The 14161-nt window shown below is 41.6% G+C and overlaps 1 protein-coding gene across 42 annotated transcripts in view, besides 2 other annotated features; it reads left to right on the top strand.

Annotated features, from left to right (window-relative positions):
- TNC (tenascin C) overlaps positions 1–14161 on the top strand; it is a 98583-nt gene that overhangs the window by 51535 nt on the left and 32887 nt on the right. For 9 of the 42 annotated variants that reach the window (NM_001439084.1, NM_001439077.1, NM_002160.4 and 6 more), the window contains 5 exons: positions 1704–1976; positions 2555–2827; positions 3434–3706; positions 6621–6893; positions 9198–9470. The exons of 4 other annotated variants lie outside the window; for them this stretch is intronic. In NM_001439084.1, coding sequence (NP_001426013.1) covers positions 1704–1976; positions 2555–2827; positions 3434–3706; positions 6621–6893; positions 9198–9470 — 1365 coding nt within the window. Of the gene's footprint in view, positions 1–1703; positions 1977–2554; positions 2828–3433; positions 3707–6620; positions 6894–9197; positions 9471–10874; positions 11148–13607; positions 13884–14161 lie in introns of all 42 variants that reach the window. 29 more of the 42 variants (NM_001439087.1, NM_001439083.1, NM_001439080.1 and 26 more) reach the window with 13 other exon arrangements.
- Positions 1159–1901: an enhancer, noted in NCBI's record as "H3K27ac-H3K4me1 hESC enhancer chr9:117827001-117827743 (GRCh37/hg19 assembly coordinates)". NCBI's record gives its function as "activates a minimal SCP1, AML or CMV promoter by ChIP-STARR-seq in primed H9 embryonic stem cells {active_cell/tissue: H9 hESC(primed)}" and the evidence as "EXISTENCE:reporter gene assay evidence [ECO:0000049][PMID:30033119]".
- Positions 2261–3460: an enhancer, noted in NCBI's record as "P300/CBP strongly-dependent group 1 enhancer chr9:117825442-117826641 (GRCh37/hg19 assembly coordinates)". NCBI's record gives its function as "activates an origin of replication core promoter dependent on BRD2, BRD4, P300/CBP, MED14 and CDK7 cofactors, with strong dependence on P300/CBP, by STARR-seq in HCT116 cells {active_cell/tissue: HCT116}" and the evidence as "EXISTENCE:reporter gene assay evidence [ECO:0000049][PMID:35650434]".

The raw sequence follows: 14161 nt of genomic DNA, 5'->3' as shown, positions 1-14161 counted from the left end.
CTCTGTTCTCGATCAAACAAAATTTGAAGGAGTGTATGCTCTGACAATATGAAACAAGCAGGAAGAATGTTCCCCAGAACTTAGAAATGTCTGAGTTAAATCAATTCCAGAAAAGAAATGTTTTCTCCTCTGAAAGGATATCCTCAATCAAATTCCAAGCTAAGATTTTCAACTTAGTAGCCTGCTCTAATGGACACATAAGGCTCATTTGAAATTAGCAGCAATGTGAAGTATAAATAGAAAAAAACAGTTTGTTCTTTTAAATGATTTAAAGTCAGTTTCTACTCTCTAGTTTACAGGATCCATTTCCAGAGAAATACTTTCCTTCCTAAACTATGCAAAGTCCACTTAAGCTCAGCCCTGGGCAAATTATCTCCCTTAAGTCAGGTTGAGACCAGTGAGTTTTTACGGAATTTCGTGCATTCGCGAGATGAATGAACAGGGTGCATTCAGTTTTACTTGAGCTTCATAAGATCTGCTTCTCCCAGGACCTCTTTCTTTTTTCTATTAAGGAACAGTTTTTCAAAGCCTTATCACCTTCCTTAGCTCAGCCTTAATAATACTGTGTCAATGTGTCTCTGATCTTTACTAATATGATCTATGTAAATGATTTGAACGCTAGAAACTGATGAAATCCCAATATAAACTATACAACAGACCTCCCATAGGATATTGAGGCAGCACAAAAAAGAAGAGGCTTTTTTTTTTTTTTTTTTTTTTTGAGATGGAGTCTCGTTCTGTCACCCAGGCTAGAGTGCAATGACTCAATCTTGGCTCACTGCAACCTCAACCTCCAGGGCTCAAGCGATTCTCCTAACTCAGCCTCCCAAGTAGCTGGGATTACAGGCTCACGCCACCACACCCAGCTAATTTCTGTATTTTTTGTAGACACGGGGTTTCGCCATGTTGTCCAGGCTGGTCTTGAACTGCTGACCTCATATGATCTGCCCACCTTGGCCTCTCAAAAAAGAAGGGTATCTAAGAAGAGCCAATTGTCTCAAAATACAGAAGGTCGGACAGCTCAAACCAAGACCCCCAGAATAACTGAGGGCCACCCCATTATGATGCAAGACATGTTCCAAAATGAAAACTGAAGCTCAGAGCATCGCTAACATAGACATATAGTTTTCTAAATCTGCAGGACACTGATCAATAGGAAAATACCATTTCCAAGAGAAAAACCCAAATATGCATGAAGGCAAAAGAAATTTTTTGTTTGTTTGTTTTGAGACAGAGTCTCACTCTATCCCCCAGACTGGAGTGCAATGGCGCCATCTCAGCTCACTGCAACCTCCACCTTCTGTGTTCAAGCGATTCTCCTGCCTCAGCCTCCTGAGTAGCTGGGATTACAGGTGCCCACCAACACGCCTGGCTAATTTTTGTATTTTTAGTAGAGACAGGGTTTCACCATGTTGGCCAGGCTGGTCTCGAACCCCTGACCTCAAATGATCCACCCACCTTGGCCTCCCAAAGCGCTGGGATTACAGGCTCGAGCCACCATGCCCGGCCACAAAAGAAATATGACATTGTTGTCCTGCTGGTGTTTTAATAGGGACAGCACCAGTAGGGGATGCAGTGAACAAAGCCTGGCACTTGGACTGCAATGGCCTATAGATGTGGCATTGGGTTTGCCATTCCCAGGTTCTCAGAAGCAAAACTTTCTGAGGAATAGTTTAACTGACCCCATCTCTGTCATTATTCAGAACAAGCCCCTGAGCTGGAAAACCTCACCGTGACTGAGGTTGGCTGGGATGGCCTCAGACTCAACTGGACCGCAGCTGACCAGGCCTATGAGCACTTTATCATTCAGGTGCAGGAGGCCAACAAGGTGGAGGCAGCTCGGAACCTCACCGTGCCTGGCAGCCTTCGGGCTGTGGACATACCGGGCCTCAAGGCTGCTACGCCTTATACAGTCTCCATCTATGGGGTGATCCAGGGCTATAGAACACCAGTGCTCTCTGCTGAGGCCTCCACAGGTATCTCTTTCCTTTCTATTTATAGCTTCTGTTTTTCCCAGCAGGAAACTGCCCATGAATAATCAGACACGACTAGCTTTGGAATGGACTTGTTCTGCCACTACTTATGTCTATGGGGTCTAATTGTGACACGAGGCCATCACGCTACAGAACCCCAAGGCAACTTTTAATACTTCACTCCACATGAATGACACCCTTGGGAGTTGTACAGAGCTCAACCTGCAGGACTAAACACACAGCTCCCATGCAGAGGGCCTTTAGCTCCATAAACAGCCTCCCTCCTGTTAAAGGACGTTAAGGCACTATATATGAAAGGGAAAGAAAATCACAAAATTCTCTCATCTACTGAGGGTTAAGGCAATTCTTTAAGATTTAAAAAACAAACAAAAACAAATATTTTCCTGCACTTTCCTCTCTTTGCTCCATTTCTAAAATTTAAAGAGTTGCATGATGCATGTTTATCTAAAGAAAGTCACATTTTTTCAGTAATATTATTATTCAGCTTATTCTTGTGTTAAAGATTCCCTGGATCTTGTTGTGTGATTTGATCACTAAACTAGTTCTTTGTCCTTCTCCAGGGGAAACTCCCAATTTGGGAGAGGTCGTGGTGGCCGAGGTGGGCTGGGATGCCCTCAAACTCAACTGGACTGCTCCAGAAGGGGCCTATGAGTACTTTTTCATTCAGGTGCAGGAGGCTGACACAGTAGAGGCAGCCCAGAACCTCACCGTCCCAGGAGGACTGAGGTCCACAGACCTGCCTGGGCTCAAAGCAGCCACTCATTATACCATCACCATCCGCGGGGTCACTCAGGACTTCAGCACAACCCCTCTCTCTGTTGAAGTCTTGACAGGTATTCTAGACGAATTCACTAATTCACTTCCTCCCCTTTGTCTCTGCTCGGGAGGAATCAAAGCACTTTCTTGCTTTAAACTGGGATCAGCTCCTACCACATTGGGGAAATACCAGTGAATCATCTCTGCTTCTTCCTAAATGTCACATCCCTTATTTGGCTAAGTCCTAGTTGTAGCCCAGTTCCATGGAAAATTCCACCTACTCCTCCTTTAAAAAAGTGAGAGGTGGCTTTTCTTTCAAAGTAAGTTTCAGTCACAATATCTAAAAAGTTGGAAAGCCCAACCTGTAAATGAAGAAAAAATAGCTCTGAGCTCATGAGCTCATTTTAAGAACACCAAAGGACTCCCCATAGCCCTATTTGTATGTCAAGAATAGAAATTGTGAACAATTCCTAAAACTACTTTTCATTCCCAAAAGCTGAATAGAAAAACCCTGGCTTTAGTGCCAACAGTTTGAGTGTGCTCAACACCTGCTGTAAATCATGCATCTATAATCAACACTAACCAGACAACTCATCCCAACCTTAGCCAAAATGCCATCTCACCTGAATCCCAGCGTGCAATTGCCTTTTTAAGTAACTCAGCAACTCTGTGTCCTTATGCAGAGGAGGTTCCAGATATGGGAAACCTCACAGTGACCGAGGTTAGCTGGGATGCTCTCAGACTGAACTGGACCACGCCAGATGGAACCTATGACCAGTTTACTATTCAGGTCCAGGAGGCTGACCAGGTGGAAGAGGCTCACAATCTCACGGTTCCTGGCAGCCTGCGTTCCATGGAAATCCCAGGCCTCAGGGCTGGCACTCCTTACACAGTCACCCTGCACGGCGAGGTCAGGGGCCACAGCACTCGACCCCTTGCTGTAGAGGTCGTCACAGGTATATGACCCTCCTCCCAGACTGGAGACATGATAGGAGCCAGCATGTCATTGAAATAGAGAAAATTCACCCGTGTGGCAGAATCCTACCCCAATGTTGTTGACAGACAGCGTGAATCTCTAACTCAGGAAGGTCTGTGTTGGAATTCCACCTCACTAGCTAAATATTCTTGGGACTATATGTGTATGTATATATATAGATACACATATATACACACACACAAATATATACTTATATATATAGTGTGTGTGTGTATATATATATATGTGTGTGTGTATATATAGATATATACTTTTTTTTTTTTTTTTGAGTCAGGGTCTCATTCTTTTGCCCAGGCTAGAATGCAATGGTGTGACCATGGCTCACTGCAGCCTCGAACTCCTAGACTCAAGTGATTCTCCTGCCTCAGCCTCTACAGTAGCTGGAACCACAGGTGTGAGCCACCACACTCAGCTAAGTTTTTTGTATTTTTTGTAGAGATGGAGTTTCACCATTTTGCCCAGCCTGGTCTCAAACTCCCGGGCTCAAGCCATCTTCTCACCTTGGCCTCCCAAAGTGCTGGGATTACAGGCATGAGCCAGCGTGCCCTACCTCTATTCTTGGGTATATTTCTTTACATCCCTGAGCCTCCTTTTTGTATCTTTAAATCAGCAATGAACCCTACTTCAGGAAACTGTCGTGAGCAATAAATAAGTTAATGAATGTCAGTGCTTAGTAAAGCGCCCATCACGTAGTAAATACTGAATAGCAAATAGCTAAATTTATCATACAGCAACAGAGTCATGATTTTTAAAATAGCACAAACGTTAGGGCTGTGGCACAAAAATAAGATCAGAACTTTCTAGAAAAACCTTATTACTAGCCTCAGAGCCACCAACTAACACCCACCTGATAGGCAGATCTCTACATAATAACCTTTAGAAATGATGCAGTTAGCTTCTGCTGAAACTATCTAGGACTCTCTCCTCAACAGATACAAAAAGCAGGGACATTTCCAAGAAAGGACAGCCACCTTTGACTTCAATGCTTTTCATTCAATTTGGGAAGGAAAAACAATTCCTCTCAATTTTCCACCAAAAATGAGCTGCTCCATCTGTTATAAAAAACTGTGCTGTACATGAGATTTCTAGAAATAGCTTCAAAAAGGGCTATGGGAAAAAGGGCCAACTTTTTGGTGATAGGGTTTCTGTGCTGAGCCCTAAGCCCATGCCCCACTCTACATATGCTGCCTTTTGATAATGCAATCCAAATCACTCAATTCAAAACAATTGTTTTCCTTGCTCTTATATAACAGATAAACTTGGTGGTTGCTAGAAACTACATAAAATTCCAAAAATAAGGGGGCCAGGTTTTATTCCTGTGTTGCCTGGAATATCTTCAGATCAAACAAGAGCAAAAAGGGCCTTTGAGACAGGTGTGGTCTGTGTGCAAGATGCTCATATCTTCCTCTGTAGTCCGCAAACTTTTGTTTTTAGCAGTACAACTCCTTTTGCAAATGAAATCTTCCAAGGAACCCTACTATTTGACAGATAAGTGAACAGCTGTTCTTGGTGTGCCTGGAAGTAAGAGGGGGATACCTCCACCCATGTTCTCAACACAGTTCTTCTAGAAAAGCCCCAGATCTATGTGGAACACAGTTTGAAAATAACCCCTCTTAAAAGCAAGAGGTTGCTCAGAGGTTGCTCAGACTCTCACAGGGCATTGAATCCTTGGATACCCAAGAGCAAGTATCTATATCTTTCAACTATTTTTGGTTGAAATCCCTGCAGATATTCTCCTCCCTAACTTCTAACCCATGGCCACTTCAGCCTTCAAAACAGTGGCTGAGAGACTGCATTTAACCCTCAGAAGCATCCCACAAAACAATGGGTTTTTCCATATCCTAAATCCAAACTTTCTAAATCACCAATAACAACTACGTTAAATTTCCTTTCTACATTGTAGAAGCAGTAATAGTGGGTTCTGTTCTGCACCATTTACTGAGAAAAATCTCCTTTCTTTTAATTAAAAGTAGGCACACTCATTTCACACAAACAGCTTTGCTCTGTGATACAGCCATTCTTCCTTTAGACATAAAGTACGAGCAGAAAAAGGTGGAAGAAGAAACAAGCTGAGAACCCAGTACACAACTTTTGATCCCTGAAAGCTGATAGAAGACCAAAGAAAAAACATCATACTTGTTCACACCTGAGACAGCATACACTTTATCAACCCAGGCAGGTAGCCAGTGGCTAGTGATGAGATAATCTTTCTAATTATAAATAATGAAATAAAGCAGGGATTTCTCCCTGACATGAGTAAGAAATTCCAAGGGAAAACACTTGAACAATGATTTCTTTATTAAGCTGACACTTATTGGGCACTCGCCATGTATCAGGTATGATACTAAGAAGTTGATAAATATTACCATTTAATCATCACGCAATCCCATGAAACAGTACCATCAACTCCATTTAAAGGTAAAGAGAGGGTGGCTCAGAGAGAAGCTGAGTGACATGCCCAAGATTATGCAGCTAGCAAATGCTAGTATTGGGATTCTAATCAAGGACTACTTGCCTCCAAATTCTGCACTTGTAACCATTGCTGTATCTCTTACCCTAACCCACAATCCTACTTTTCCATGTGAATTTCACCTGCTAGCAATGCATGCTCCCGGTGGGTTGTGCATTGGTGCAGATGTCTTTGCCATCTCAAGGATAAACCATGTAGATATTTCCCTTTCTGGCCATTTTCAACTCCTGAAGACAACTGTGGCCAGGGAACCACAGTTCAAATTGCAAATGCTCAGAGACCAAGAATTAAAAAAAAAAATTATCTTTCCCCTTTCTCTCTTTCCTAGAGTTGGGCTGTGGGATGTTTGGTTTCCTCATTTTTGGTTTATAGAACTGACAAATACTTTTCTGTCCTTCTTCAGAGGATCTCCCACAGCTGGGAGATTTAGCCGTGTCTGAGGTTGGCTGGGATGGCCTCAGACTCAACTGGACCGCAGCTGACAATGCCTATGAGCACTTTGTCATTCAGGTGCAGGAGGTCAACAAAGTGGAGGCAGCCCAGAACCTCACGTTGCCTGGCAGCCTCAGGGCTGTGGACATCCCGGGCCTCGAGGCTGCCACGCCTTATAGAGTCTCCATCTATGGGGTGATCCGGGGCTATAGAACACCAGTACTCTCTGCTGAGGCCTCCACAGGTACTTCCTCTCCCTGTCAATGCTTTCTCCCCAAGGTTCTTTGCTTCCTTTTCAAGAGATCATGCGCGGAGTCAGCATCTCGCCATAACTGAATCCTTTTCATGTGCCTTTCAGTGGCCGGCTGTGCATGCTCAGAGACCTCCCTGTGGGCTATGACTTTGTCCTCATGCCTTTGCCATGTGGATGGTGAATGATGCAGGTGTTGCCCTTTCTGATCTCCAGCCCCCCAGCCTTTCATACTTTACCTGGCTGATTCTACATCTTTTTTGAATGATGAATTTTTGTTTCAGGAATCAGCCTGATGGTTTTAATTCACTTCTCCAGTGCTTGGAGATAACTAAAAGCTTCCCTCCCTATATATGAGTTCTGGTGGAACACAGATTATTTACTTCTGAGAGTCTTTTGCTAGTTGGAAATGGTGCTTTTCTATCTCTAAATCCCTCAAGGATATGGGTAGTGTGGTTCTTGCATGTAAGAAATGTTTCTTTAAAATGCACCCAGTATAATAAGAGAACTGAATTACCCTCCTCCGGGCAGTTCTCTCAGATACTGAGTCATTGTTAGAACATCAAATTAGCAAATAGCTAGACCAGAAGGAAAAAAAAAGAAATTACACAATTATGACTGGAGACTGTACCAAAGAGAAAGCCATTCATTAGCACAAGTACACACAGCAGCTTTTGGAACAAGGAATGTCCTGGGCTATGAATGTCAAAGAACTGATACCCTTTTTGCTCTTTTAATCAAGAGTTTCTCTCTGGAGTGTTGGCCTTTGGATGGCAAACTCCCAGCCCCAGACCCAGGAGGGTGCATTATAGTTTACTCGTCACTCTACCCCTGTTACAAGACTTCAGTGTTTCCCGGGGGCCTGCCAAAGTCAGCAGCCTTCCTCTGACACAGTTTTCCGTTGCTCATCTTTATTATGTGCCTCCATGGGTTTGAAGCTCGGTAGAGACTATCGCTTCATTTTGCATATGACTGCTCCCCTTTTTAAATAATTATTGCAACTAAACTTTAATGCATACCTGTACATCCCAGTTGAATCTAGCAAGAGCATAGCTCTGCATTTTAACCTCAGTCATTTCACTAATTTTCACTGAGATAAAGAAACATAAAGCACAGGCAACCACTGCCAGGACGGTGACCCTGAAATGCCTAGAATTTGCAGCCGAGGCTACTCTGAAGGCACCCGGACCTCCTTTTTCTGAGACCCATAAACCATCCCTTCCCAGAAGGCAAAGTAATCACCCACCACTTCTGATCTTTTCTGCAGATCTTGTGGCTTGGGTGTCCTCAGTATTTTTATGTGTGTGTGTTTTTCTTCTTAACAATAGCAACATTCTTGCCACTGATGAATTGGCCTATGGGCAGGAAGTTCCATAATCCCATCTGATCTGTATCTCAACAAATCTATTAGAAGGATCTCAGAGACCAGGAGCCTTCTTTCTTGCTAAAGAGACAGTACTAGCTTTTCAAACCCTGCTCCTACCTGCCCTCTGCATGTTTTATTCTTATGGTTGGGGAAAGCACTGGCAGGACCATCTTCAAGACAAAATGTTATTTCTTCGCTGAAAGGGATGGCCTAAACTGCCTTGCCTTGGCTTAGCCCTCTTGGTTGGCAATGCAATACTAGCCTTTTTGGCCCACATAGCAGCAGTTAAGAGAGGACAAGCTATTTTAACAGAATATGAGAATGGCTGGCTGGTCCTTCTCTAAAGTATGAAAAAAATACCAAGAATTACACTGAGAAATTGGTAATTACCATTAAGTCACAAAATCAGAAGCCTCAAGTTACCACCTTGGGAAGGTAATGGCATCAGAATTATTTAGCCCTCATTTGAATAGATGGGAGCTCCTTCAAAGTAAAGAATGTCTGTGGAAGGCATCCAAGTAATCTTGGTTTCCTTAATGCAATTCAAGAGACTGGAAGTTGCCAGGACTCATATCTTTTGACCAGTGGCCAGCAACCCTGAGGTAGGGCTCCCAGAGGCAAGTGTGGTTAAGATGCAACAGTTCCTGATAAGATCATTCAGCACATCTTCTTGGCCAGGGCCTGATTATATGTGGCAACTGCATGTAGAGAAATCTAATTGCCATACCTTCCTTTTTCTAATTTCTTTTAACAAAACTGCTTTTTCTCTCCCTTTGGCACTAATTGGTAACATTGCTTCCTTCCATCATAGCCCTGAATTATCAGATCTCTCTACCCAGCAATGGTTCTATTAACAACCTCAATCTTAAAACACAGCCAAATAATTAACTCAAATTTATTTTTTTCTTCTCCCCTACCCCTTCCTTTTACAGCCAAAGAACCTGAAATTGGAAACTTAAATGTTTCTGACATAACTCCCGAGAGCTTCAATCTCTCCTGGATGGCTACCGATGGGATCTTCGAGACCTTTACCATTGAAATTATTGATTCCAATAGGTTGCTGGAGACTGTGGAATATAATATCTCTGGTGCTGAACGAACTGCCCATATCTCAGGGCTACCCCCTAGTACTGATTTTATTGTCTACCTCTCTGGACTTGCTCCCAGCATCCGGACCAAAACCATCAGTGCCACAGCCACGACAGGTACATGTGCATTCTCCCATTTCTAACGCACTCTCTCCACAGTCTTCTTTGCAGGGTGAAGCCTCTCCTTCTCCTCTCCCATTGATGTACAAGCCACAGGGCACTAACTCTTCCATGGTGCTAGGCTGGGGTGCTGTTTAACATAACTCTTTTCCAACAGCAGCCCAAATAATGCATTGCCATAAAGACATGTGCCTGATTTATCACTGACCAGGATGTTTACAGCATAAAATGTAGTTCAGTCTAATTTGCCATATGGAATCTAGAGAAAAGAATTCTAACCTCTCATAACTAAAAAGCTATATAACTAGACCTGTTCTTGACTTTGAAAGATGTCTGCCTCAGTCAAAGAGGTCTTGTAAATTTTATTTTGTATTATCTTAGTGTCTTTGTCTTCCTAGTCTCTTGGACCTCGCAATACCCAAATATCCCAGTGATTTAATAATCATGTTGATGGTGTTGGGTATTTTTTTCCAACTGGGAAAGTAAAGGGAAACAGCAAAGATTACTTATCAGATGAGTGCAGGAGGCAGCCATGCCATTCAGACCACCCCAGTTCCAACACCACCTCTAGAAGATCAGAACATGCTGTCTTGCCCTCAGAATAGTGAATGATAAATGGCAAAAATAAAAGTAGAATAGTTGTGTTCAAACAAGGGACTTAGTTTAAAAAACAAAAGAATAAACTGCTCTCACTTTAAATTTGTGGTGTCTGTGAGATGTGCACTAAGTCAGATGCTCTTTGCCATGCAGTAAAAGACAACCCTATGTGAATTTAGAAAGGGGAGCCCCCCTTTCTAATGCTACATTCAAAGTAGCATTCTTAGCACAATTTAGACAGTGCCTTCTCTGGAGAGGTAAATGAAGAAATCACAAACTAGAAAAAAAGAAACAATATCTACAGAACAAACACAGGAGAAATGAAGAAATCACAAACTAGAAAAAAAAATATTGTCTACAGAACAAACACAGGATAATTTTTCCTTATAGTTTACAAAAAGGGGACTCATGGTCTGGGAAATCCAAGAAAAGGGTTGACATCGTAGCATCAAAATTGCCTGTCATTTAGGTCACCCATGGTTGAGAGAGGGTCTGTCCTCATTCTACATGAGGCTACAAATTGTCGTCAGGGTGATCCATGGATAAGGCAGAGAGAGCCAACATTATCCAGTTGCTATCTCAGCCAGGTTCAAGTATAAAAAAACTTAGAGGAGAAAATTAGGCAAACATATATGTTTGTTTCTCATGGCTCAAACCGATTTTCAACAAGGGACAAATTATTTTACCATTAACAAAGGGTAAAGTCTAAAACTTTATGGATTTAGTCTTATGTGTTTTGATTTTGACTCTACAATGGTGTTTTAAATTGACACACTTTCTTTTTTCTTTTTTTTCTTGCTTTAGTAGCCAAACCTCTTCTTAGCCACCTCACTGTCTCAAACATGACCTGGGGCAGTGTGTCCATCTCGTGGGAAGCTCAGGAGTCTGCCTTTGATAGCTTTCTTATAGAAGTTAGTAATTCCGATCACCCCCATGAGACCATGGTGCTGTCTGTGCCTGGGGTGTCTCGCAGCTCTGTCATCACCAACCTCAAAGCTTCTTCTAATTACACTGCCCACCTTCATGGGCTGATTGGCGGGCAGCGTGCTCAGACCCTGATGGTCCAAGCAACCACAGGTATTTCCTATTATGGCTTCTTCACTCTTCATTGAATTTCCTCTGAATAGCTTTCCAAAAATCACCCGCTACCCACTTTTCACCCTCCTAGTTGCTCCCAATCCTTCTCAAATTTGATAGAGCCATCCAAATCAAAGCTTTAAAGCTTTAAAATAACTCTCACCCCAAATTAAAGAATTTCAGTGTCAAACCTCTTTTTCCTAAATATCCATTCACATCTGGAGTTGTTCTGTTTGTTTGTATAAAGTTAACCTGACTTGCTTTGGTTGAATTTCTAAATCATCTTTTCATCTGATCTTGAATAATCTTTTTCAATCCCACCCATTATCATCTGCCTGTGGTCGTTCTAATCAAAGTTTGCCTATGTCATGTTCAAAGAGGTATGTGCATGCCATTTCTGGTGACTTGGTCAGAAAGATCTACACTCTTTTTCTCTCTAGCAGGATTTTAAAAAATAAAGGTGCCCTGAGCATGCTGAGAATAGACTCTGAATCACAACCCAAGAATTGCATGAGAGGACCCAGTAGTCTTATCTTGTTCTCGTGATTTTTGTCTGAAGACTACTCTTTTTTGACATGTACTTTGTCAAGCACATTTTGTCACCCACTGATAGCTGTCACAAAGTCTCAGGCTCTTCTTTCAAGCCATCATCTTGTCCAAATCTTGGTGCATGTGGTGAATATTCAGAGCATTAAATTTTGAAAATGTTTCTTTTTCCTGGAAGCAGCTAGCATGTCCATGAGTCATTTCAGAAGGTTTAAAGTGGTGGGAGAAAAATGCCCCTCATTTTGCATGGAACATTGACCATACCCTAACTACCACTATCTTTCTCTGTTTTTTCTTGCATCTCATTTCTCAGCTTGGTTGCACCCTTTGAGAGGCAGCTGGAGGTAAAGCTGACCTCAAGAACCTGAGTCTTATTCTGCATGGTGAATCTGTTGGCATTGATAGTCTGTCTGGTAGCATGAGAAGAATCCCAGCATGCATCCTTAATTTGGGAGATTGTTTCTACAGCAAAATATAGGGAAATAACAGAGTTCCACTTGGAACATTTTAATCTTTTGTGTGGTTGAGGGAATTTGTCAAAGCTATAGCTGCAAATGATTGCATTGTTACCTTCTGAAACTAATTGATAAGGAGGATATCCCATGTCAATGCTAATGGCTATATTCTGCTTCTGAACCAAATCCTTTTTGTTCTTAGAGATTTTATGACATCGAATTATGCTGTATAATTGTGCCATTAAAGTTTATCCAAATGAGCCCCTTCTTTCCTCCAAACTTTGGAGCTGAAGCAAAATAACTCCCAAGTCCTTGGAAGAAATATTGTGCCTCTTCCCAACCCTAAATCCTGATCTTAATATCTGAATCCTCCAGTACTGTTGCCTCTCTCTAAAATACAGTCTGGGCCGCACTTACTTTAAAATTAGTTTTATTTGATAAATGAGCATTTAGGAGGCCAGCCCCATAAACATCTAGCCATATAGACCCCTTAACATTAAATGAGTTGCTCTCAAAACTGAATGTCTAGACTTTAACAGAAAAGAGATACTTAACCTCAGGGAAACCATCTATCTGTCCAAATTATCCAATAATTGAGTTTCCTAAGCAGAAAATTCAATGCCTAACTTCAAGTTTTTCTTTCACCTTTGCATTCACTGGGAATTTTGAATGGAAGCCATCTTCACCTTTACGGTATTAAATGGTAAAATATAGATTTTCCTACAATGCATATTAAGTACTGTAAAAATTTCTCTTGTATGGGTATTAGCCTTTAATTTGTGCAAACAGTAGATACTAAAAAAGAATACTAAATGAGGAAACTCCAAAGAAGCATTTTCTAAAACATGTTCAATGGAACACCAGCTCCTTGAGATGTTCAAAGGATATTCCTCAGATAGGGTATACATTGATCAATAAGTTTATGAAATTTGGGCCAAACAAAATTAAACAGGTTTACTGACAGAACCAGCCTGTCAGAGCCTTTAAAATGCAAACCCACCTTGTGAATCTCTATGGTAAGACATAATATTCGGTGTTTACCATGCATACTTAATCATAAAGCTGTCTTTTCTTGGAACATCTTACAGGGCTTGTGTCCCCAGTACAAACTTTAGAAAATGTAGCCTTAATACCCTTCACGTTACTCCAATCTACCACTCTAATGGCTTGTCTACTCTTCTTCATACATGACTAGCAAATGGTGGTGTTTATGCTTTAAAAGAACACAGATCTAAAAAATAAAATAAAAATAAAGAACACAAATATACACCTGCAGAGAAAGCAATATATTTTCTATCATCATATTCAATGCAGGTGTAGACACAGCCTAACATACTGTCTCTTCTGTATGTATTTGGAGATATTGATGCTTTCATGTTCTATGGCTACATTCTGGAAAAATCCACTGCTTCCTCTAATAATGTCTCTCTCTTTCTCTCTGCCCATATTCCTTCTTTAGAACCAAAGCCACAGTTGGGCACGCTAATCTTTAGCAATATTACTCCAAAAAGCTTCAACATGTCATGGACCACTCAAGCTGGGCTTTTTGCAAAGATTGTTATCAATGTGAGTGACGCTCACTCACTGCATGAGTCCCAGCAATTCACAGTCTCAGGAGATGCAAAGCAAGCTCACATCACAGGCTTGGTGGAGAACACTGGCTATGACGTCAGTGTGGCAGGAACCACCTTGGCTGGGGATCCCACCAGACCCCTCACTGCCTTTGTCATTACAGGTACTCAATCAGAGGTTCTCACTTGTCTAACACAGAGAGAAAAGGAGATAAGTCATCTTAAAGGAAAATTCAACAAAAATACAATCTTCACTGCAAATGTGTACTCTCTTATTTTTAATTGACAAATAGTAATTGTATATATTTATGGAGAATAGTGTGTTGTTTTGATATACATATACATTGTGGATTGATTGAATCAACCTAATTAACATATCAATCACCTCACCTTATTTATTTATTTATTTATTTATTTATTTATTTATTGTGCTGTGAGAACA

Source organism: Homo sapiens, chromosome 9 (genome assembly GCF_000001405.40).
Source record: "Homo sapiens chromosome 9, GRCh38.p14 Primary Assembly".
NCBI lineage: Eukaryota > Metazoa > Chordata > Mammalia > Primates > Hominidae > Homo > Homo sapiens.
The sequence above is the reverse complement of the archived record's forward strand: the minus strand, read 5'-3'. Positions and strand labels throughout refer to the sequence as shown.